The 25,135-nt window shown below is 35.4% G+C and overlaps 1 protein-coding gene across 23 annotated transcripts in view, besides 5 other annotated features; it reads right to left on the bottom strand.

Moving 5' to 3' along the window:
• The window catches only part of ARL6 (ARF like GTPase 6), a 36,722-nt gene extending 13,818 nt beyond the window's left edge, over window positions 1-22,904 (bottom strand). For 7 of the 23 annotated variants that reach the window (NR_136597.2, NR_136600.3, NR_136601.3 and 4 more), the window contains exons 1-5: window positions 22,448-22,667; window positions 19,195-19,344; window positions 7,205-7,266; window positions 6,742-6,810; window positions 2,376-2,470 (exon numbers count right to left, since the gene is read on the bottom strand). Coding sequence is in view for 8 of the 23 variants with exons in the window: in NM_001323513.2 (NP_001310442.1) it covers window positions 2,376-2,470; window positions 6,742-6,810; window positions 7,205-7,266; window positions 19,195-19,317 (349 nt within the window). In the remaining 15 variants the exon portion in view is untranslated. Of the gene's footprint in view, window positions 1-2,375; window positions 2,471-6,737; window positions 6,811-7,204; window positions 7,267-19,194; window positions 19,345-20,734; window positions 20,794-21,335; window positions 21,435-22,447 lie in introns of all 23 variants that reach the window. The other 16 variants (XR_924188.4, XR_007095753.1, NM_177976.3 and 13 more) reach the window with 6 other exon arrangements.
• Window positions 22,335-22,834: an enhancer, noted in NCBI's record as "H3K27ac hESC enhancer chr3:97483435-97483934 (GRCh37/hg19 assembly coordinates)". NCBI's record gives its function as "activates a minimal SCP1, AML or CMV promoter by ChIP-STARR-seq in naive H9 embryonic stem cells {active_cell/tissue: H9 hESC(naive)}" and the evidence as "EXISTENCE:reporter gene assay evidence [ECO:0000049][PMID:30033119]".
• Window positions 22,335-23,336: a biological region, named in NCBI's record as "H3K27ac hESC enhancers GRCh37_chr3:97482933-97483434 and GRCh37_chr3:97483435-97483934".
• Window positions 22,510-22,619: an enhancer, noted in NCBI's record as "active region_20127". NCBI's record gives its function as "activates an Ori minimal core promoter by ATAC-STARR-seq in GM12878 lymphoblastoid cells {active_cell/tissue: GM12878}" and the evidence as "EXISTENCE:reporter gene assay evidence [ECO:0000049][PMID:35858748]".
• Window positions 22,660-23,199: an enhancer, noted in NCBI's record as "active region_20126". NCBI's record gives its function as "activates an Ori minimal core promoter by ATAC-STARR-seq in GM12878 lymphoblastoid cells {active_cell/tissue: GM12878}" and the evidence as "EXISTENCE:reporter gene assay evidence [ECO:0000049][PMID:35858748]".
• Window positions 22,835-23,336: an enhancer, noted in NCBI's record as "H3K27ac hESC enhancer chr3:97482933-97483434 (GRCh37/hg19 assembly coordinates)". NCBI's record gives its function as "activates a minimal SCP1, AML or CMV promoter by ChIP-STARR-seq in naive H9 embryonic stem cells {active_cell/tissue: H9 hESC(naive)}" and the evidence as "EXISTENCE:reporter gene assay evidence [ECO:0000049][PMID:30033119]".

Genomic DNA, 25,135 nt, shown 5'->3' with positions numbered 1-25,135 from the left:
ATGGTCTCTGTAGAAAAGGCAACCCATAACATCAGTGTCTTGGCATCTTCATAGAAATATTTTATGTATTTGCAAACATAATTATTATATATTATTTTCATATAGCAGGCCAACCTCATTACTTTATACCTTTATCTTTTCATTTATTTACATATCTTGGATCTGATCCCATATCAGTACATATAGAGCAGCTTCTTCATTATTTTAACCGTTCTGGAATATTTCTTCTTTTAGTACTATGTACTATTATTTAACCAGAACCCAACTGAGATACCTGTTACCAATCTTTACAACTATGAACAATCCTGTAATGAATAAATGTGTATATAGGTAATTTTGTACACCGGCCAGTATGTCCTTAGGATAAATTTAAGATGTGGAATTGTTGGGTCAAAGGACATAAATTTCTCTTTTGATAGACAGTGATTACCAAACTGCTTTCTCTTAAAAATTATATCAATTTACACTTCAACAACCACGTATAAGAATGAGTGTTTCCACTCCCCTAGCCAAAAGACTGCTATGAAACTTCTTGATATTTTCCATATCATAGGTAATAGAAAGGCCAAGAATCTTTCCATATATTCAAAAGATGTTTAAATTTATGTTTTTGTTGACTTACCTGATATGTCCTTTCCCCATTTTCTATTAAGCTTTTATATTCTTACTGATTTTTAGAAACACAAGTAGTATAGAAATATCCCTGTAGCTATGATATGAGTTGCAAATATTTTCCCTTGCCTGTCATTGTCTTTATCTGTTCACAGTACATTTTGCTATTCAAAGATTTTTTATGGCCATCAATTTTTTTAAAAAGTTCATATACACTTCAGCTGAGAAATCCCTCCCTTGGGAATCTATCCCATAAAATAAAGGAAGTAGTACATTAAGATCCATAGACAAGGCTTCAGTTGAGGAAATCAAAATCCCCATTGTTTGAAGTATATTTTATAGGAACTATTTCATTTTACTGCTCAACACTGAAACACTTTTTAGAGAAAAACTGGAAAGATTAATATGAAAGGAAGACATAATCAAAAATGCATTATCAATCTAGATACAAGACTGCTAAGTTTTTTGTTTTTTTTTTTGAGACAGAGTCTCCTCCGTTGCCCTCAGTGGTGCTATCTCAGTTCACTGCAACCTCCACCTTCCAGGTTCAGGCAATTCTCCTGCTTCAGCCTCCTGAGCATATGGGATTACAAGTGCACGTGCCTGGCTAATTTCTGTATTTTTAGTAGAGATGGGGTTTCACCATGTTGGCCAGGCTGGTCTCGAACTCCTGACCTCAAGTGATCCACCCGCCTGTAATCCCTCCCAAAGTGCTGGGATTACAGGCCTGAGCCACCACGCCCAGCCAAGACTGCTAAGTTTTTAACATTAAAAAGTCAAATAAAATGTACAGGGCGGATAATTTTTTTTCAAAAATTTCAGTAAGCTTGAGGTCATCTGTTAAAAATACCAAAGATATTGTGGTTAAGCAGTAACATTTATTAGAAAGCCCCACACTATTTCTATTTCATTTCTAACAAATCCACAGTTCTCTTAAACCACCATCCTTTTCTGAAAGTCCTAGCACAAGCACTATTTAAATTTTTTTGGCATGAGGAAGGCTAGAAATGCAGAGTTCCACAATACTTACTGGAGCACTGTTTGTAGTGGGGGCTTGGGCGGGAGGAAAGTATACATCAACAGGTGAATGATTAAATAAACTGTGGTACATTCATAGTAAACCATATTAGGCATCATTAAAAAGAATAACTACATAATTATATATAATTTGATTTGGAAGGATATCCATCATTAAGTGTTAACTGAGAATAGAAACATGCAGAAGAGTGTAAAGAATATGATTCCATTTTGGTAAATAACAATGATAGTCCCCACAGTCCTCAACCCTACAGATATTTTTGGGAGATATATATATATATATATATGAATAAATATGTAAGAAATGCTGTAATTAAACACACACAAACTCAGATACACATAGAGAAATGCATGAAAATATGGTAACAAATAATTTTAATGGGTGTTGAAATACACAGATCTTTATTTTATTTTTCCATCTGATTTTTTTTTTTTTTTTGCTTTGGTACAATTTATGTAATCAGAAAAAAGGGAATTTTTATTTTTGAGGAAATAAATGTTAGACACCCCAAAAACAATGCAAAATGCTTTACATTTACATTGCATGCAAAATTTACAAAATATGGTGATGTACATAAAATATAAATTTTGTATAACATATATGTTTTAAATTCAAAAATTTTAAATGAAAGATAATTACATAGTATAAGCAATACCCAAAGAACAAAACATTACACATAAATGAACCCCAAAGAACAGATACAGACTGAAAGACACACACATACCTGGATGATTCAGAAGAGTATCGAGTTCTTCTTTGGCCACAACCATTCTTAATCTATCACTACTATCAATGACAAAAATAATAGCTTGGCCTTCTCTGTGTAATGTAAAGAAAAAGAAAAATTAAAGCTTTACTTATAAATTTTTCCATGTTTATTATCCATGGGCATTTCCTAACCTAAGTATTATCTCCTTATGTCCTATGTCCATATATCATTAGAATTTTTGGTGTTGTTTCTTATTAGTTTATATGACTGATAAATATATTAATCATTAGTCATATTTCATGTAAAATACCTTTTCATTTGGATAATAAAGTAAATTTAATGACTTGCTACTTCATAATTTTAAAAAATGAGTAATTTTTTCATTAAAATATCAGAATATGAGAAAATGAGTTAAAATACCATAACCCTATTACACCGATGCAATAATTATTAATATTTTGGTATAAAGCTACACTTTGTGTATATTACATATGAATAAACTATATATGTATTTAAAATGGAATCCTGTATTACACCTTGCCTTTGCAATACATATGTAAATTTCCTTGATTTTTTTTTTTTTTACTACTATGGTTTTACTACTACTTTTATAAATTATTTTTACCATAAACCATAGTGAGAAATACATTTTGTATTAAGATACAGTAGACACATAGGTATATATAGATGTATTTTAAGTGAAAGTCTTCTGAAAAAATACTTACAAATAGCTTTTATTTTATTCTATTTGATTTTTTAAAAGCTGATAGCCAGTGATTGAACTAGTTAAGGATTCACCCATGGATCACATAGGCACTTGAAAAATTATTGATTATTCCTCTGCACTATCTTCTTTTAATGGTTCTAAACTATTGCACTGCATGGATGTGTCATCAAATACTGTATCAAACATTTGTTGCTGGACTTTTAGGTTATTTCCAATTTTCATCATTATGAAAAACTTTAAGGCAAATATCCTCCTACATACCTTTCTTTTAAAAAAGTTCTGATGCTTTAAGATTTATTAGAAATGTTAGGAGTAACATTTCTAAGACTACATACATAATTTAAAGTTTTAGAAAAACATTTCCAAACTGTCCTCCAGAAATGCCATATCAATTTACATGACTCAGTACTTTTCTCACTCCTTTGCCAGCACTGGCTATTATCATTATCATCATTCTTTTCAATAATTGCCATTCTAACAGCATATTATCTTGATCTAGTTCATTAATTGCCAATGAGGTTCAATATCTTTTCATATATTTATTGGACATCTGTACTTTTTTTTGCGAATCACTTAATCATAAATTAAGTATTTAAACTGCAATGTGATTAATAATCAAATGATATACAAAATAAAACTTTTTATATACCATTTTCTCCTATCATTAAAAAAGGATAATGCTGATTATCACAGACATACATTACCAGTACATATAGAAACCAGAACAATCAAAGTACCTATCAAGATCTATAAAAACGTTCAATCACTTTGAGCCAGTGATTTTATTTCTGAAATTCATTCTAAGGAATCACGAACTGGGGCTAAGATTTATACAAGATTTTGACTGAAGGACTGTTTACAATTTTCAAAAACAGAATAGCCTTCATGTCCTAGAGTAGAGAAATGGTTAAAGAAATTTTGGCAAAGCTGTGTGAAAAAATATTAGGCAGCTGTTAGTTATATTCATTGCATGTTTTTCCTGATTTACCCTTACCACATGTTAACTGAAAAAAGCAAGATACAAAATTATACATGGTACATAATTTAGATGGTTCCTTTTTCCTTAGTTATATAAAGTATATGTTATATATTTCAAAAGGAGGAGAAAGATACCAAAAAGATTGACAATGGTGAATTTATGAATAGTGAGATTTATGGGAAACATGTTTTCAATATTCTCTTCTATATTTTCCAAATTTAAAAAATGTGTACTCCTTATATTTTTGCATGCTATTACCTTTTTATATTGTAAAAATAGTATGTAAAAATTATATAATATTTAACATTATGGCATCATATAGATGAGAAAGTAAATGTCTCTCTTCACCAAACAGGATGTGAAAAAAAAAAGAAAAGAAAAATAAAAGAAAGTAAACTTCCCTTATAATCCTACTATTCCAAAAATAAATGCTACTAATGGTTTGGTGCATAATCCACTAAGAACTTTCTTCTTTCTATACATAGTAAGTACATATTTATAGCAAATGTAAATTTCCTTGATTTTTTTTTTTTACTACTATGGTTATATATATAGCAAAGATAAATATTTATAGTAACATTTTTACATAATTGATATAAAAATGTTATAAATAATGCTAACATACAACCTTCTATGTATATTTTTTTGCCCATAAGCCCTGGTCATAGAATACTTTTCTAAAAGTAAAAATGCTTGCTGGAGTTTATAAACATTTTTCATTTTAACAGATATCAATAAATTACCCTGAAAAAGATATTACATTCTCACAGGAGTGGCTCACTTTGACAAGAGCATACTTTATTAATCTTTGTAACCTTTTTCAGTCTAATAGATCAAAATGTACTTGTTTTGTTTCACAGTTAGAAAAGTACGAAAATAGGGAAAGTAAATTTACTTTTATTGTTGATTTTTCAATAGTAATCATATTCTCCATTCAATCTACAATGTAACCACTCTATTCTAGAATTCATAAATTTCATCCAAAAACAGTACAAAGAAAAAAGGAGTTAAAATCAAATAAAAACAAAGTTTACTTTCCTACTATTTTCTCTCTATATATATTTTTGTAATTAAAATTAAAGTATTTTTAAAGTAGCTAAATACATTTTTAAAAGGAATTATTTATCAACTAATTGGAGGAGGAATTTAAAAAATCCTGTACTGAAAACTCAGGTTTCCTAAACACACAAACAAATAAGAAACACATAAAATGCATCTCCCCAAGGAATTTAATGCAGAATACCACAAACATGCCACTTTTCCTTTTCCAAACTAACCCTCGAATCTGAAGCACTCTCTTTTCCCTCTCTCTCAGAAGTCTTCTGGACCTACGATTTAAATAGGCCTTCAATTTATTGAAGGACTCATTGAAAAAAAAATTTGAATAAATTTCCTCTGGTTCATATCCCAAATATATACCATTTAATGTTTGGTCTCACATTATTAGGAAAGAGTTAATCTAAATCTAAATCTTATCTGGTAAATATCACATACCATTTCAAGGCAGCAGTTCATAATGACAAAAGAGAGTTTAGTTAAGAGATAGTGTTTTTAAGTTTCAGACTCTAAAAGTGAAATACATTGCTCTTAAATGAAGTCCTAACAATATTAGAAGCTAATGAATTTATTTTATTACCATATGCAAATCTCCAGAAGGTATAACACATTTGGGTCCTAGTAACTTGACAGCTATTAGTCTGAAGTATAGTCATCCCTCCGAATTGGCGAGGGATTGGTTCCAGGATCCCCTTCAAATACCAAAATCTGCAGATGCTCAAGTCTCTTATATAAAATGGCTTAGTATTTGCTTATAACATATGCAAATTCTTCCATATTCTTTAAATCACCCTAGATTACTTATAATACGTAATACAATGCCTACATATGACCTCATTTATATGCTTTCAATACAGTAGTTTGTGCACGGCAATTTAAGTTTTGCTTTTTGGAACTTTATGGCATTTTTCTCCCCAAATATTTTTGATCTACAATTGGTTTAATCCAGGAATGCAGAACCCAAGGACATGAAGGACCAAGTGTAAATTAGTGAGCACTTGACTTGCATATGCTGAAAAATGGCTTGTTTCAAATTATTCATAGAACAATGGATCAACTGTTAGGCAACACTGTTATTTTTAACTAAATTTAGTCAATAATATTTACTGGCCTATATGCTGAGCATCATACTAGGTCTTGAAAAAATAATATGAATAATAAATAATCCCTTCCCTTGAGGAGTTCACACTTCCACTAGGGAGGCGGCTATGGTGCATAACTTCAAGACATGGTAAGTATGATTAGAGAGATAGAAATGGACAAAGTGCCAGGTGAACAATAAGGACAAAATAACTGGGCAGAACAGTGAAACTTCAGAGGAAAGGACTTTTAGCTGAGTTTTAAAGCAGGAATATGTTAACCTTAAACTGAAGTGAAGTAGGATAGAATGGGGCATTAAAAACAGAGAGAATAGTACATGCAAAGGCCCGAAGTCATGAAGGACCTGAAACATTTGACAAACAATGTTGAGTCTCATTACATATTTTTTAAAATAGGAAATGTTCATAAATTACATGAAAAAAAAAAGCCAAACAACCTAGCCATATAATTCTTTGGATTTCTAATCATTATTATTAGTAAAAACCATCTAGTTAAGCAACATTCACAGATGTACTTACTTATAATAGTGTTCCCAGAGATTTCTGTATCTTCCTTGACCTGACATGTCAAACACTGTAAATGACAAACTACAAAAAGAAGCAAAACATGACTACATTATAAACTAAAGCATAACTTTTACTTAAAATTTTAAATTATTTACAATCAAAGAAATTACCCTTCATATGCAATATTCAACATGTGCCAATTTACAAGTAAAAGTTCTATGAAATAAATGTATTAATATAAACACAATTTTGCAATAAATAACATAAAAAACTTCTTTGCTAGTGAAGTTATCAGAGTTTGTCTAAACTCTAAATTCTGAAAAATAAACCAGCCATAGTGGTTAGAAACACTTTAATACCTATGAGATTCTGAAACAACAAATTACTTTATCTAAGGGTAGGAAGAATGACCAGGTAGACCTAATATTGTTATTTTTCACTAGCAACTTTTTTGTTAAGGGATAAAGTGGATTACCTGGATGATTTGAATTTCTCTATGCTGAATCCTATTGTTGGAAGGATATTTTGAGATTGAGCCTTTAAGAGAAAAGACAAAGTTCAGAAATTTACAATTACCAGAGATGAGTTTTCCTCAAGTTAAAGTATCCAGATTTTCAGTTTCTAAAATCTGTCACTAAGGAGATGATAGGATTTAACAAAGTTATATAATTTTTTCAATAGGATCACTCTGTGTGAATTCTTTATAGAAGTTTAAGGTTTACTAATTATGAATCTGCATAATATTAATTCACATTTGTGGCTTGTGGCATGCTACCAAGGACATAAGCGTTTGTTTTATAAGTGGTTTAATAAGTGTTTTTTTTTTTTTTGAGATAGAGTCTCACTCTGTCACCCAGGCTGGAGAGCAGTGGCGCAATCTCGGCTCACTGCAAGCTCCACCTCCCGGCTTCACACCATTCTCCTGCCTCAGCCTCCCGAGTAGCTGGGACTACAGGCGCCCGCCACCACGCCTGGCTAATTTTTTGTATTTTTAGTGGAGACAGGGTTTCACCGTGTTAGCCAGGATGGTCTCGATCTCCTAACCTTGTGATCTGCCCGCCCTGGGCTCCCAAAGTGCTGGGATTACAGGAGTGAGCCACCGTGCCTGGCATACTTTCTAATCTTTCAACACATACGTGAGTTTGTATATGTTCCAGACTGCCCTCATGTGTAGATGGTTCCTGCCTTTATGGAGTTTACAAGCTAGAAGATGTAAATAGAACACAATTTTGAGCAGAGATAAGTGCAAAAATAAATGTTTTGGGGGTGGGAGGCAACAGAAAGGGGCTGGAAGGTGGCATGGAAGAAAAGTGCTCAGGAATGGTCTCTCTGAGTAGGGGCCATCTGACCCAGGAGTGAATGACAGGAGGGGAAGAACCATGACAAGTTATTGACAAAGAACAGTCCAGTCAGAGAAATCTGTCAGTGCAATGATTCTGAGGAAGGAAGGAACTTGCCACTGAGGAAATGCAGAAAGCCTAAATGTCTCAAGTGTATCGGGTAAGATAAAGAGTGATATGTTGAGGTAAGGGCTTGAAGGCAATGGTAGGGAATTCTGCGTGGAGAAGAGATTGAAAGGGGGCTAGAGTACAGCAGGAGACATGTTGACAAATCCCACTGACAATTAAAATGTATTATACTAACAATCTAACTTGTTAAATGCCTCCTAGCACTTTCATCAGAAAAACTATTCCTCTGTTTGAATAAAAATATATCTACTTTCTGATCCAGATGCCTAGAAATTATTATTGACTCCTCCCTTTTTTTTACATTCTTTATGTAATCATTCTCTAAGCTTTTTGGTTCTATCTCACTAACTTAGTTCAGACCCTTATCATTTCTTGCTTTGAATTACTGTACCAGCCTCCTAATTGCTCTTACTTGCCTTTGCTACCTTGAACAAGTTACTTAATTTTTCTAAGCCTGGTTTTCTCAAATGTGAAATATATTATTATTATCCTTTACTCATAAACTTATCATGATAAGTAAATAAGTTAATGGATGTAAAATACTCAACACAGTAAATGCTCAACAAATGTCTGATATTATTATAATTACATGCTCACTGATTTCAGTCTCTTCCCCAATTCTTCCCATATTGTCACTATAACTTTAAAAAAAACTCCCTTCAGTTCATCTTGTTGCTTTTATAAAAAAACAGTATTAGAGGGGAAAATTTTGCCTCACACTATTACATTCACTCTGGTAGTCTACTTCTGGGAAATTTAAATTCAAGGAAAGACAGAAGCTCAAAATTCACTGGAGCTTGGTCACTTTAATAGCATGGTAATGCACTAGTAGAAAGGCCCTCCAGAGCTGCCCTTGTTTTGCCTTTCTGAAGTTTGTTTACTTAGCTTTTTCCTTTTCCTTCTATCCATTCCAAGATCTGATCTAGTATTTTTCCAAAAATATATTTTTGTTTATGTAAGACAAAATTCATTTCCTGCCACTAAGATTCCTGCCTCATACCTTGGGTTTCCTTCATTTCAGAACAACCTTTGCAATAAGAAGTTTCCTAAGTTTTAATGTTCCCCCAACTTCATTATTTTGATTTTAAGGGCTTTAAATGTGCCAATCATTGTGAAAAAATCATCAGCTACTACTATGAGGAAAAAGACACCAATAACAAAATAGGAAGCTAAAGTTTAAAGAAGTCTCAAAAAATGTATATTAAAATAGCAACCCTGTCTTCACTGAATTATAATTAGAACATTTCCCTAGCGTCCCCACGATCACCTAACTTCTTCACAAACTCTTTTTTATTTCCAGAGAAACTTGCTATTTTACTTGTAGGAATAAAATTCATAAATTTTCTTTTCTTTCCATCACTTCAAAAGTTCTAGCAGAAAGTAATCAGGAAAAAAAAGAAACTTCACAAATTAATTAGGGTAGAACAAGATATGTGAGCAATTGCTTCCAGACTGAAGTGGAACTCATTTTCCTCTAACATATTCCAAAAGATAGTTTACAATATCAATCTCCCTCTGCTCTATCCAAGAACAAATACATTTGGTTATTCTGAAAATTGGACAGGGAATGGCACAAAGTAAACAAAGAGTATAGGAATTACAGTCAGCCCTCTGTATCTATAGCTTCTAAATCCACAGATTTAGCCAACATGAATTGAAAATAATAATTTAAAAAAGATAACAATACTATTTAACAATAAAAATATTACAAATGTATAAATACAATAAACACTATTTACATAGTATTTATATTGTATTAAAGTATTATTAGTAATCTAGAGATGATTTAAGGTATACAGGAGGATGTGCATAAGTTATATGCAAATACTATACCATTTTATATAGGTAGGAGGGTGGAAGGGGGTGGGTGGGAATGTGTGTCCTGGAACAAATCTCCTGTGGTTATCGTATTGCCTTAGTGGAACAAAACATTCTGAGACAGTTCAAGGATACACCAACATAAACAGGAACAGAATAAGATTTCTGAGAGAGATCCTATTTGGTTAGTTTCATTAAGTCTGATAAAAATGATATCCTTGGTGGTATCAATCATAATCCCCTGGCCAAAACTAAATATTAAAAAATCATCCATCAATCTACTCATCCAAAGTGCCAAGCATTATTCTAGGTATCTGGGATTCACTGCTGAAGAAGAGAAAAATCTATGCTCGTTTATAATGGGAGAAATTTAATAAGCCAGTTATCAAATGAATATGCAAGTTATCAACTGAACAATTTTAGATTGTTTTAAATTTTAAGAATAAGGGTGGCCAGGCACGGAGGCTCACGCCTGTAATCCCAGCACTTTGGGAGGGCAAGGCGGGTAGGTCACCTCAAGTTATGAGTTCAAGACCAGCCAGGCCAACATGGTGAAACCTCGTCTCTACTAAAAATACAAAAAAAGTAGTGGGGTGTGGTGGCGCGTGCCTGTAATCCCAGCTACTCAGGAGACTGAGGTAGCAGAATCACTTGAACCCGGGAAATGGAGGTTGCAATGAGCCAAGATTGTGCCACTGCACTCCAGCCTGGGTGACAGAGCCAGACCCTGTCTCAAAAAAAAAAAATAAATAAATAAACAAAAAGAATAAGGGTAACATCACCAAAATGAAGTAGAAGCAAGAAGCAATTAGGCTTCACTATCTCCCACAGAAAACCAAAAACAAATATCCAGTACTAAGATTAGCACAAGTAATATCCCTTAAGAAAGGAAGAAAGGAAAAGAGGAGCTACAAAACAAGAGAAAAATTAACTAAATGGCAATAGTAAGTCCTTACCTATCAGTAATAGTATTAAATGTAAATGAACTACATTCTTCAATTAGAAGACACAGAGTGGCTGAATGGATTAAAAAAAAATAAGACCCAACTATGTGCTTTCCACAAAAAACTCATTTCATCTATGAAGATACACACAGGCTGAAAACAAAACGGATAAAGACATTCCATGTAAATGAAAACCAACAAACAGCAAGATTAACTATACTCATATCAGATAAAACAGATTACAAGTCAAAGACTATAAAAAGAGACAAAGTAAATCACTATATGAGGAAAAAGGAGTAAATTCAGAATGAGAATATAACAATTGTAAATATATGTGCCTTCAACATGGGAACACCGTATATATTAACCAAACATTAATAGAGCTAAAGGGTGAGAAAGACTGCAATACAATAACAGCAGAGGACTTCAACACCCCATTCTCAGTAATAGACAGATCATTCAGACAGAAAAATCAACAACAAAAGAAATCCAAGTTAAACTGAACTCTAGACCAAATGGACCTAATAAACATTTATGGAACATTCCATCCAACAGCTGCAGAATATACATTATCTTCATCATCAAATGGAACATTCTCTAAAATAGATCATGTTAGGCAACAAAACAAATCTCAACAAATTTTAAAAGGTAGAAATCATATCAAGTATCTTTTCTAACCACAATGGAATAAAACTAGAAATCAATAATGAGAGGAACTTTGGAAACTATAAAAACACATGGAAATTAACATGCTTCCTAATATTCAATGGGTGAATGAAGAAATTAAGAAGGAAATTCAAAAGTTCTTTGTGATGGTTAATACTAAGTGTCAATTTGATTGGATTGAAGGATGCAAAGTATTGATCCTGGGTGTGTCTGTGAGGGTGCTGCTAAAGGAGATTAACATTTGAGTCAGTGTGCTGGGAACAATCACCTTAATCTGGGTGGGAACAATCTAATCAGCTGCCAGTGTGGCCAGAATATATAAAGCAGGCAAAAAAAAAACCTGAAAAGGCTAGGCTGGCTTAGCCTCCCAGCCTACATCTTTCTACCGTGCTGGATGCTTCCTGCCCTTGAACATCAGACTTCAAGTTCTTCAGTTTTGGGACTCGGACCGGTTTCCTTGCTCCTCAGCATGCAGATGGTATATTGTGGGACTCTGTGATCACGTGAGTTAATACTACTTAATAAACTCCCCTTTATATGTATATCTATCTATCCTATTAGTTCTGTCCTTCTAGAGGACCCTGACTAATATAGATTTTGGTACCAGGAGTGGTTCTAGAGGAACAGAATATTAAGGATGGAGTTCTTTCATTGGTTTTGGGGTTTCTGGAGTTGGCTGCTTAATATGATTAGACCCCAAAATGCTAAGGACTCTACTTTTAATAGTATGGAGAACACTGATAGTCCTTGGCACGAACTGTTTAGAGAGTTATGCAAAATAAATGCATTTGACACTCTTGATTCACTGCTCGTGAGCGGTAAGTAGTTTAGTGACTCTATACATAATACCTTTGACTATATGTGGAGAACCAAGGAACATAATGAAGTTGGTTGGTTGCTCTTAAGTTCACTGGACAAAGTAATGAAAGAAAATTATGAACTCAGGGATTGTAACTCCCAGCTTCAGAAGCACATACTGAGCCTCAAAGCTGCTAAGACTGCCCTGAGTGAGAGTCTTATCTCCTGTAGAGAAAGAGCTGAAATTGTGGAAAAACAGGCACAAGCTCTTATATCAGTTGCTGACCTGCAATGAAAGGTGCATGCACAGCCTCGCCAGGTACCTACTGTTGAAGTGAGGGCATTGATTGGAAAAGAATGGGACTCTGCAACTTGGAATGGGGATGTGTGGGAGGACCCTGATGAAGCTGGGGACACCAAGCTTGTAAACTCTGATGAACCTTGTTTTGCCAGAAGAAACAGCTTCCCCATTCCCAGTAGTGGCAACATCCCCTCCCCCACCCATGCTGCCATCAGCCTTTCCACCTTTGTCTGAGGAGATAAACCCTGCGCTGCCTGGGACAACAGTGATGGCCTCCCCTGAGGCAGTTGCCAGGCAAGATAATGTTGATTCTCCTCAAGAGTCACCCTCAATACCCCCGCCTGCTTCTAGAATCCCGGGGGGATTCTAAACTAAAATCCCGGAATAACTAAACTATAACTAAAATCCTGGGGGGGCCCCAGAGGTAAGGTTGAGAGTGTGATCCATGAGGTGGTGCACTACACTCAAAAAGAACTGCTCGAGTTTTCTAATTTATATAAACAGTAATCTGGAGAACAGGCTCCTCCTACCTTTAAGTCAACAAGCTAAGAAGGGAGTTAGTGTTGGCTGGGGTGACTATCCGGGACTATCAAGATGAAATCAGACTATCACTCCACAACGGAGGTAAGGAAGAGTATGTATGGAATATAGGAGATCCATTAGGGCATCTCTTTGTATTACCATGCCCTGTGATTAAGGTCAATGGGAAACTACAACAGCCCAATCTGGCAGGACTACATATGGACCAGACCCTCCAGGAATGAAGGTTTGGGTCACTCCACCAGGAAAAACAAACAAACAAACAAACAAAAGCAGCACCTGCTGAGGTGCCTGCTGAAGGCAAAGGGAATACAGAATAGGTAGTAGAAGAAGGTAGTCATCAATACCAGCTGTGACCACATGACCAGTTACAGAAACAAAGACTGTAACTGCCATGAGTATTTCCTCCTTTTGTTAAAAACATGTTTGTGTACATATAAACTTGTACTATGAAAATATATTCATTTTATTTTCTTTTTCCTTTATCATGTGACATAAGATTTATTAACTTCATTTCAGCATTTAAATACTGTTGACTTTATGTAATAGCATTTGGGTTGGGGATTGGTATATTTCCGGTTGTACGAAGGATAGTTGTATTATGTTAGGCATAATTATGACCTTATTATTGTCCTTATTTGAACATTATGTATGATCTCAGGAGATGTGTATTGACAAGGGGTGGACTTGTGATGGTTAATACTGAGTGTCAACTTGATTGGATTGAGTGATGCAAAGTATTGATCCTGGGTGTGTCTGTGAGGGTGCTGCCAAAGGAGATTAATATTTGAGTCAGTGGGCTGGGAAAGACAGACCACCCTTAATCTGGCTGAGTACCATCTAATCAGCTGCCAGTGCGCCCAGAATATATAAAGCAGGCAGAAAAATGTGAAAAGGTAAACTGGCTTAGCCTCCCAGCCTACGTCTTTCTCCCATGCTGGATGCTTCCTGTCCTTGAACATCGGACTCCAAGTTCTTCAGTTTTGTGACTCAGACTGGCTTCCTTGCTCCTCAGCCTGCAGACAGACTATTGTGGAGCCTTGTGACTGTGTGAGTTAATACCACTTAAGAAACTCCCCTTTATAGATATCTATCCTATTAGTTCTGTCCCTCTAGAGAACCCTGACTAATACATTCTTAAATGAAAAGGGAAATACAACATACCAAAATCTATGGATACTGCAAAACCAGTACTAACCAAGAAGTTTATAGCAATAAACACATACATCAAAAAAGTAGCAGCCAGGCGTGGTGGCTCACACCTGTAATTCCAGCACTTTGGGAGGCCGAGGTGGGCAGATCACCAGAGGTCGGAGTTTGAGACCAGCCTGACCAACATGGAGAAACCCCATCTCTACTAAAAATACAAAATTAGCAGGGCATGGTGGTGCATGCCTATAATCCCAGCTACTTGGGAGGCTGAGGCAGGAGAATCGCTTGAACCCGGGAGGCAGAGGTTGTAGTGAGCCGAGATCACACCATTGCACTCCAGCCTGGGCGACAAGTGCAAAAATCCATCTCAAAAAAAAAAAAAAAAAAAGTAACAAGCCTTCAAATAACCCAATGATGCACCTCGAACAACCAGAAAAGGAAGAACAAATCTAAACCAAAATTAATAGAAGGAAATAAATAAAGATCATAACAAAAATAAATGAAAGTGAGACTAAAAACATACAAAAGATCAAAGAATCAAAAAGTTGGCTTTTTGAAATTATAAAATTGAGAAGACATTAGATAAACTAGGAAAAAAAAAGAGGATCCAAATAAATGAAATTAGAACTTAAGAATGAGAAATAACAACTGATACCACAGAAATACAAGGGATTATTAGAGATTATTATGAAAAACTACATGCCAACAAATTGGATAACATAGAAGTGGATAAATTGCCGGACACATTCAACCTACTGAGATTGAACTATGGAAAAATAAAATACCTGAACAGGCCAATAATGAGTAAGGAGATCAAAGCACTAATATAAAGTCTCCCATTAAAGAAAATATTAGGACCTGATGGCTTCACTATGGAATTCTACCAAACATTTAAAAAACAAATACTAATTCAACTCAAACGATCCCAAAAAGTAAAGAGAAGGAAACACTTCCAAACTCATTTTACAAAACTGGCATTAATCTGACACCGAAACTAGTCAGGAATACAATGATAAAACTACAGGCCAATATCCCTCATGAACATAGATGCAAAAATCTTCAACAAAATGCTAGCAAAACTGAATCTAACAACCTATTAAAAAGTTCATTCACCATGATCAGTAGGATTCATCCCAGGGATGCAAGGATGGTTCAACATACACAAATCAATATATGAGCCCATAAGATTAATAGTATCAAGGACAAAACCATATGATCATTTAAATAGACGTTGAAAAAACTTTTGATAAAATTCAACATCTCTTTATGACAAAAACTCTCAACAAATTGGATTAAAAGAACCATACCTCAAACAATAAAGGCTAAATAAATGACAAAACCATGGCTAATATACTAATATTATACTGGTGGAGCTAATATACTGAATGGAGAAAAACTAAAAGCCTTTCCTCTAAACCTGGATCAAGACAAGGATGTTCATTTTCACCACTTTTACTCAAAAACAATACTAGAAGTTCCAGCCAGAGCAATTAGGCAAGAAAAATGAAGGTCATCAGTATTGGAAAGAAATAACTCAAATTATCCTTGTTTGCAGATGACATGTTCTTATATTTAGAAAAACCTGAAGACTCTACCAAAAATACTGTTAGAACTGATAAAGAGATTCAGTTAAGTTTCAGGATACAAAAGTCCACATATAAAAATCAGTAGCATTTATATACACCAAGAACAAACAATCTGAAAATGAAATCAAGAAAGTAATCCCATATATAATAGCTATAAAAAATATAAAATACTTAAGAATAAATCCAACCAAAGATCTCTACAATTAAAACTATAAAATATTGATAAAAGAAATTGAAGAGGACACAAAAACATGAAAAGCTATTCTATCTATGCTCATGGATTAAAAGAATTATCACAGTTAAAATATCTATACCACCCGAAGAGATTAACAGAGTCAATGCAATCCCTATCAAAATACCAATAACATTCACAGAAATATAAAAAGAATCCTAAAATTTATATGAAACCATAAAAGACCCCAAATAGCCAAAATAATCCTGAACAAAAAGTACAAAGTTGGAGGTACCACACTATCTGACTTCAAACTATACTACAAAGCCATGATAACCAAAACAGCATAGTTTTGGCATAAACACACACACACAGACCAACAGAAGAGAACAGAGAAGCCAGAAATAAATCCATGTATTTACATCCAACTCATTTTCCAAAAAGACATCCAAGAACATACATTGGGAAAAGGATAGTCTTATGATGCTGGAACACTGGATAAACACATGTAGAAGACTGAAACTAGACCCCTATCTCCCACCATATACAAAAGTCAACTAAAAATGGATTAAAGACTTAAATCTAAGACCCAAAACTATCAAAGTACTAGGAGAAAACACAGGGAAAATGCTTCAGGACACTGATTTGGGCAGTAAGACCTCAGAAGCACATGTAACAAAAGCAAAAATAGACAAATTGGACTATATCAAGCTACAAAGCTTCTACACAGCAAAGGAAACAATCAACAAAGTGAAGAGATAATCTACAGAATTACAGAAAATATTTACATAATATCCACTCAACAAAGGATTAATAACCAGAATACAGAAGGAACTCAATTCAGTAGCAAGGAAAAACAAAACACAAAAAATCTGACTAAAAAAATGGGTAAAAGATCTGAATAGACATTTCTCAAAAGAATATAGACAAATGGCCAACAGGCATATGAAAAAAATGCTCATCATTATTCATCAGGAAAATATATATCAAACTACAATGAGATATTATTTCACCCCAGTTAAAATTGCCTTTATCAAAAAAGGCAAAAAAATAATGAATGCTGGTGAAGATGTAGAAAAGGGGGAACTCTCGTAGATTGTTGGTGGGAATGCAAATTAGTGTAGCCACTATGGAAAACAGTATAGTGTTTCCGCATGAAACTAAAAATAGAACTCCCATAAGATCCAGCAATCCCACTGTGGGAATATATCCAAAAAAATGGAAATCAATGTATCAAAGAGATACCTGCACTCCCAAGTTTATAGCACCACTATTCACAATAGCCAAGATATGGAATACACTTTTGTCCATCAATGGATGTATGGATAATGAAAATTTGGTACATATACACAATGAAATATTATTCAGCCATAAAAAAGACTGAAATCCTGTCATTTGCAGCAATATGGAGAGAACTGAAGGTCATTAAGTTAAGTGAAATAAGCCAGGTCCAGAAAGACAAGTATCACATGTTCTCACTTGTTTGTGGGATCTGAAAAAGTAGATCTCATAGAGACATAGAGTAGGTGGTTACCAGAGGCTGGGAAGGGTAGGGCGGAGAGAGGGGTGGAGAGAGGTTCATTAATAGGTATAAAAATACAGTTAGATAAAGGAATAAGACTTAGTGTTTGATAATTCAGTAGAGTGACTATAGTCAACAATAATTTACTGGATATTTCAAAATAGCCAGAAAAGAAGAATTAGAATGTTCTGAACATACAAAAAAGATAAATTTTTGAGGTGATGGATATCCCAGTGACTCTGATTTATTATGCATTGTATGCATGTATCAAACTATCACATGTAACCCCTAAATTTGTATCAATAAAAAATGATATAAAAACTGGATGATGTGACAATAAAGATTGGTAGTGGAATAAAGATTGAAATTTTTGAAAAAGGTATATAGAGTCTATCTCTAAAAAAATGACAGCTAAGACTAGATTCTTGAAAAAAGCGATCAGATTAAAATGTCCTCCCTCTCTCCCTATTCTAAAATGCCAGCAACCTCAGTACATTAACAATAAATAAACATAAAGATAGCTTAATATGAAAAACTAGTTTGTGTCCAGGAAAGAACTACTTACCTAGAAACTGATTTTATCCACAAAAATGAGACAATTTTACTATAAAATGAGATGGGCACTATTTTTTTGCAAGGCATTTCCTATCACAGCATTGTACATTTCTGTACTTATTTTATTTAATTCCTTAAAAATAATGTTCTAGTAGTGGATGTAAGCTTACAAGAGACTCTTCTTGAGCTTGGTGTAGGAAGGGAGCAAGTGTTGTATCTACATCTATAACTGAGTGACAGAGGTTTGAAACCCCTCAAGAAGTCCCATTTCAAGTGGCTCCTTGGCTGTTACCATTACCATAAAAAAAAGAAAAAAAAGCAAAGCCAATCACTTTTCTCTGGACCTGGAGGTCAGTTTTTCTGATAAGGCAGGAGAGTTGTCCAAACATAAAGGCTCAGGAATTGGTGCCAGAAATTAGGAAAGCCCTATTAGATAGGCTTTCTTTATATGCAGCAGACTTTAACTTTAACTTATACATCACATGTTAAATGTGCTAGCTTTATATATTTTTCAGTTATTACAATATGTCCATACACTTGTTGCTTAAAATCATCTTGCTTACTATTACTAATATGCATACTATACTTTCAAAAATTGTCTAATTATCCATAGAACCTATAAAAATGTTTCACCTTTCTCTGTTTTGCTCCTCCTGTAAGGAGGAAACTAAAAAGAAGGCAATGACATTTAAAGTAAACTCAGTAAATCTGTGAAGAACTTTTGAAAGAAAAGACATTTGAAAATAATATTCCAGTTTAATAATTAAAATTTACTGTGTAAAATATACTGCAAATTATGGCTGAGGATACTTAAAGGTACTGAAAGGTTAACAGAATATCTTAATGTGATTATATGCGGTTTTAACGTCATATAACATAATTCTGCACATTAATTTTCTTTAGTAGCAGAAAATACATAAAGCATCTAACAAAGATACTTACATTTGAAGGTTTAAGTTTGTTAATGATCGTCGTTTTGCCACTATTATCTAGCCCAAGGCACAAAACATGAACCTCCTTCTTCTTCAGGCCAAGCAAGACTGAAAGTCTGTCTAGCAATCCCATAATGTGATTCAAATATTTACAAACCAGCTGCAATTAAGAAAAAATAAAATATTACCCAAAGGCACCTTAAGTTATGGAAAATATTGGTAGGTGTATTAAAAAAAGGTAATAATTTAAATACACATAATAATAGTGTGAAAACTATGTCAATGTAGCTTTGCACTTAGTAAACACAGTGTAAGCTGATTACCAGAAAGGAGCCTTAACTGACACGCAGATTTGCAGCTTATAACAGGTGGCAACACAGAACAATGCCTTGGAAATAACAACATTTCTCTCTGTAATTTATCATATTTAAGAATAAAACATGGTCAGCCTCAGTATCATTTGGAGTCTGCGAATTGTGATACTTGAAAATATGGAAGAATTAGGCCGTAGCCTTTCCAGAAAATCTGAAACAATGAATGGGCAATGGGGTTCATGTAGAAGGCAGAAAGTAGAAGGCAGATCTGAAAAGCAGACAGATTTTGAGATTTTGGTGATATCATTTAAGCCACTGTTAAATCTTTATCAGAAGCCAGCCCCATTGTTATATTTTGTAATAATATGAAGTTACAATAAATTCACTTTTTTTTTGCTTGCTTGGTTATTTCCAGTTTAAGTAGGGTTTTCTCTCAGTAGAAGCAAAGAATCCTGAAATACTTATCCTTATTTCCCCTTATCCTATACATACATCTTTGTAAGTCACCACAAATCCCTTTGTGAAGAAGGTTATGCATAAATACATACACACATTCAATTTATTGAACCTTACTAAATATCTGTTTTTTAACTGTAACTTATCTGAAACATCCTCCTAAGTGCTATTTTAAAAGGACTTTATCGTATTAGTATAGAATAAGGAAGTAAATACTGATTGTAGATTTTAATTTAGTTTTTTAAGTATCTTAAAAATTTCTTTGTTAACTTGTCCCTAAAGTGTTCATTTCTCTTGTTCAATTGTATTGATTCTTTGAAAAAAAAATTCTTTCTAATGCAAACTTAAAAAAAAACTATCAGCAATCCAAAAATAGAAGTATTTGGAAGTCAAATAAAACTGCTGTGTACATAAAACTTGCTATGTGGTAACTTTATGGCTGTTTATATTCATCTAAGGTACTGTTAAATTTACACTTCAGGTCTCCAAACTAAACTTTTCAAAGGAGCTCACTTTGGGTCCATTGCTCCCCAAACCATTACTTTGTGGTAGAAGGACAGGGAGATAGATCCCTTTTTCCAGCCCCCAACTGCTGCAGGAACTGCTACAATATATCTATGTACCAAATATTTCTCATTACTCACCAACATTAGTTCTCTAATGTTTTTATTCTCATTAAATTGACTTATTCTCATCTCCATCTAAGGTTGCATAAGCAACCTGTCATATTACAGTTTCTTCAATACTTTTTATTCCATACAATTTCAGGCAAGGCCATACCTTGAAGGATGTGAGGCTGCAGCAACTTTATCAATAACAGGCTTCCAAGACAACTGTATCTAAAAGGAGGTTGCATAGTCAACATTTTGCTTAGGCCTTTTGGGATATGATTATGGGTAGAAATTTCAAAACTAAATTTCAGTGATGTGCAGAGAAGAGATGGAACAGTGCCATGCCAAAAGGTGAGGCCTATTACAGAACCACGTTTGTCTTTCCCCAAGGATGAGTTTGACCTCAGGTACTTCCATTTGTGCCACTTCAATCTGCTTTTCTCCTTGTATCAGAGATTCAAATCTTATTCAGTCCATTTCTTTAAATTACAGCTTAAGGACCAGCATTTGTAAAATCTATTTTAAATTAACCTTCTGATGTCATGAAGCAATTCACACATACCATTTGATTTCAAAGTAAATTTGCTATTACTCACTTTATTTACTGCATAAACATATTGATATAAATGCTTATATCTTGTTCTCCATTTCATAATTTAGAACTTATGTTTTAAAAACGACAACTTCTCACATTTTCCCCCCTTTAAGCATCTACTATAAAGCACTGAGTGTTTAAAGCCTGATGCTTGAATATTCGTTTTTCACAGTACCTTGTATTGTGACTTTCCATCACTTTTCCATGGATTATCACTTGATACTTGTTAATGAAATATTTTGGGACACACAATTTAGAAGAGCAGGCAGTTTTTCTAAAAGAGGTAATCACATTTATTGAAATTGCTTTATAAACAACTATCATAGAGCCTTTAAACTTCTACGTTTCAAGTAGTTATAATTTTCCTTCCATAAGTTGACTTTCTGCATGCATAAATAAAAGATAATTGAAGCCAGTCAATATTTGTTAATCGTGTCTTAAGTGTGCAGCGAGAGACACAACTGTTTTCTGCAGCTTCCTACTCTGATAGCCATGATTCTCAACCCTGGCTGCACTCTGAAATCAATTGCTGAATCCGAATTTTTGAAAATAAGATCAGGGCATCTGTAGTTTTAAAAGCTACCCAGTGTTTCTGATGTGAAGTTACTATTGAGAACTACTGGCTTTCAGAATAAAGCCAGTAGTTTCAAACTTCCAAGCACAGCTTTTAAGGTTGTCCACAATCTGGCTCCAATCTTCCTTTCTTGTTTCTTATCTTACTGTAACCCTCTCTTTGCACACCAGCCAAATTCTCTTGGTTATTGTCTGACAGACTGTTTCCTAAAGGATTACATATTGCCAGAGAAGTCCAGAAGAATTAGGATGTTATCCACAGTTAACAGCTTAGAGGGTAAGCTGCAGAGACAGAGTGGTAGCCCAGAGAAAACACCACGAATGATACTTAGTAAACTCTGTAAAGTGTTTGTTGATTGAAATGTTGCCTACTTTTATTACCCCAAATAAACATTCTTATTCGGCTTTCAGTTTTTTATGATATAATTTAAATTACACTTACACACACACACACACACACACACACACACACACACACACCCCCAATACACGGGTCTAAGTTGAGCATTGTTAAAACCCATCAACCAAACATACGTCCAAACCAGTTTAGTAAGTTTTCTAGGGCCTCTATAACTCACCTTCTTTTCTACTTCTCATACATTAGCAACAACTACACGCGTGGAGTGAAAAACATGGGAAAGACCAAAGAGGAATTCTAAAACTGACGGGGACAGAGGGTGGCGCTGGCTTTAAAAACCGGCGTTGAGGAGATACCTGGTTTTTGAGGTTAGTCCGGAGGGCGCAGGAGCTGGCAACAGGAATGGACGCACTCGTATCGGTCTCCGGGATGGAAATCTGGTGCGAGGGTCCCTCAGCCTTCTTCTCGATGCCTACATGGGAAGGATGCCTGGTAATGAGCAAAGCCGTCTCTAGAAGTTGGGAAAACCGGCAGCCTCTGCAGCAGTCTGTGCATCAGTCGCTGAGCAGGCGCCTTGGCAGGCACCGTTCCCTTGGCAACAGGAGCTTCTTCCGGTCCTGAAGCCACGCCTCCCCGGGGGTCCTGGCGATTCAGCCGTTGTGCTATAGCTTCTGGGATTGAAGAGCTCCGGGAAAAGGTCAGAGGCGCGCCGAGGAACTATACATTGAAGAAAAATGTGTGCACAGGTGGCAGGGTGAGCTGCCTATTTCCTGCGAGGAGCCGGGCAGTTCCCGGCGTAGCATCATGGGAGTTGTAGGCTCGCGCACAGCTTTCTGGGAAGCGTTTGGCGTTCGCGTGTGCTGCGTGTTTGTCGCTCGGCCCTGGTCTTCCTGGGGATCCAAGAGGCTGGCGCTGGGTGTGGCGCGGAGAGTGTCGTTACCGGGCACCAGCGTAGCGTTGTGGCAACGACTGCAAGACGATACTGTCCCCCCTGGGGCAAGATGTGCGCCGGAGTTCCCCAGTTGCCCATCGCACCGACTCTTCTCTGGGTTCTGATAGGCCTCCCACCCTGAGTCCCTGTAGAGGTAAAACTGTTAATACAGGAAGGTAGAGGGGAGAACTGGTGTAAAAAGTCAAAAGGTGTTATTCGGCTAATAAAGTATGCCTGTACCCCTGCTTCTTAGTTGTGTGGTCTCCCGAAGAGATTTCTACCAGGCATAATCTCCTGTGAGTAGATTACAGTCTCCAGAATCAAATCGGCAGGTGGTCAGGAAAGGTATTAATAGTCAATACTTAAAGTTGACCACCTTCTTAAATTGCACTTGGATTTTATAGTCATAGTCACAAATGGTCTTCAAATAGAAAATATTTAGGCATACCCTTCCCCACATCTTTTATTACTGCGTTTTCCAACGGACACATTACAGATGCAGTCATTTTAAAGATCTAGCCTTTCAATCTGCCCAACTCCACTAACCTCACCCCCAGCGAATGGCCTCATTCTTCAAATAGGGGTTTGTATCTCTTCATTTTTTTTGTTTGCATGGGTGTAGGATTTCCGACCCCCTGCCCCCCACCGCGCGACCCTTTTCAACTAGCTAGTGTATGTTTACTGCACTGCCTGTTCTTTGGCCTGTCAATTCATTTGGCCTATTAAATGGACTAGGAGGGTGCAAAAAGAGACTAGAAGGAATTATTTCAAAGTAATATGGTAGGGGGGACGGTTGTAAGCGTGTGATTATGGGGTGATTTATCTTTTGTCACTTCTCCAAATTTCCAAATGTAATTGTCATTTTTACAGCGAAAAAACAAAAGCGGCTCTGGATTAGTGATTCTTGTTGAAAGACAAAAACAAAACAAAGACCCTATGGATGCATATCAACATATAAATGTCCTTGTAAAAATGGAGTATGGAAATACATTCTTTCTTACTGTGTGGTCTTAGCCCAATTTACCCTTCTCCGTGCTTCTATCCTCACCTTCAAAAATATAGTATTTATCTTATCTGGTAGTTCTGAGTATTAAAGATAACAGAAATACAGATGTTTGGCACATATTTATTGTTCAATAAATAATGTCCTGTCTTCTTTTGTCTTGAGCTTTTTATTGTGTAAACAAAATTGACCCAAACCGTAACTATGGTGGTTCTTTAACTTCTGAACTTCTAATCGTGAATGCATTGACAGGGAGGTGTTGAACACTTTTCTGTGTGCCTGGGTGTTGTGACTTACTTGTAAGAGATGGAAGCTAATGTGCTTGCGGCCAAAATATAACATTTTTTTTTCTTAGCGATCGGCAGAAATGTTATATTTCAGAAAACTTTCATGGACAGACTCAATTTTTCCTGCTAAAAGTTGATATTTTCTGCCTCTAGGTTGAGTTCATCTCTTTTGGCTTAATATAAAACATTTGGTGAAAACTGGAAATAAAATGGACATATTGAGCATCCAACTTTTCAGGAAAACAAGGCAGATAGATAATTCTTCTACAAAAATGTAGCTAGTCAAATCGTTATCTTAGATAAGTATAGTTGATAGATGGCTTATTACTAGAGATAAATGTTATGAAATAAAGCAGTAAAATAATCTAGAAAAAAATGTTAGCCTTGAAAATATTAAACTTAAAAAAACATAAAGGCTGCCAGGCCCGGTGTCTCACGCCTGTAATCCCAGCACTTTGGGAGGCTGAAGCAGGTGGATCACCAGGTCAGGAATTCAAGACCAGCCTGGCCAACATGGTGAAACCCCATCTCCACTAAAGATACAAAAATTAGCCGGGTGTGGTGGCACGTTCCTGGAATCCCAGCTACTCAAGCGGCTGAGGCAGGAGAATCGCTTGAACCGGGGAGGCAGAGGTTGCGGTGAGCTGAGATTGTGCCATTGCACTCTGGCCTGGGCAAAAGGGTGAGACCCTGCACTCAAAAACAAAACAAAACAAAAAACATAAAGGCTGGGCACACTGGCTCACACTGTAATCCCACCACTTTGGGAGGCTAAGTAAGGCAGGAGGATCTCCGGAGGCCAGAAGTTGGAGACCCCATCTCT

The sequence above is a fragment of the Homo sapiens genome, chromosome 3 (genome assembly GCF_000001405.40).
Source record: "Homo sapiens chromosome 3, GRCh38.p14 Primary Assembly".
In the NCBI taxonomy this organism is placed as follows: domain Eukaryota; kingdom Metazoa; phylum Chordata; class Mammalia; order Primates; family Hominidae; genus Homo; species Homo sapiens.
This window is presented reverse-complemented; position numbering and strand designations above follow the sequence as displayed.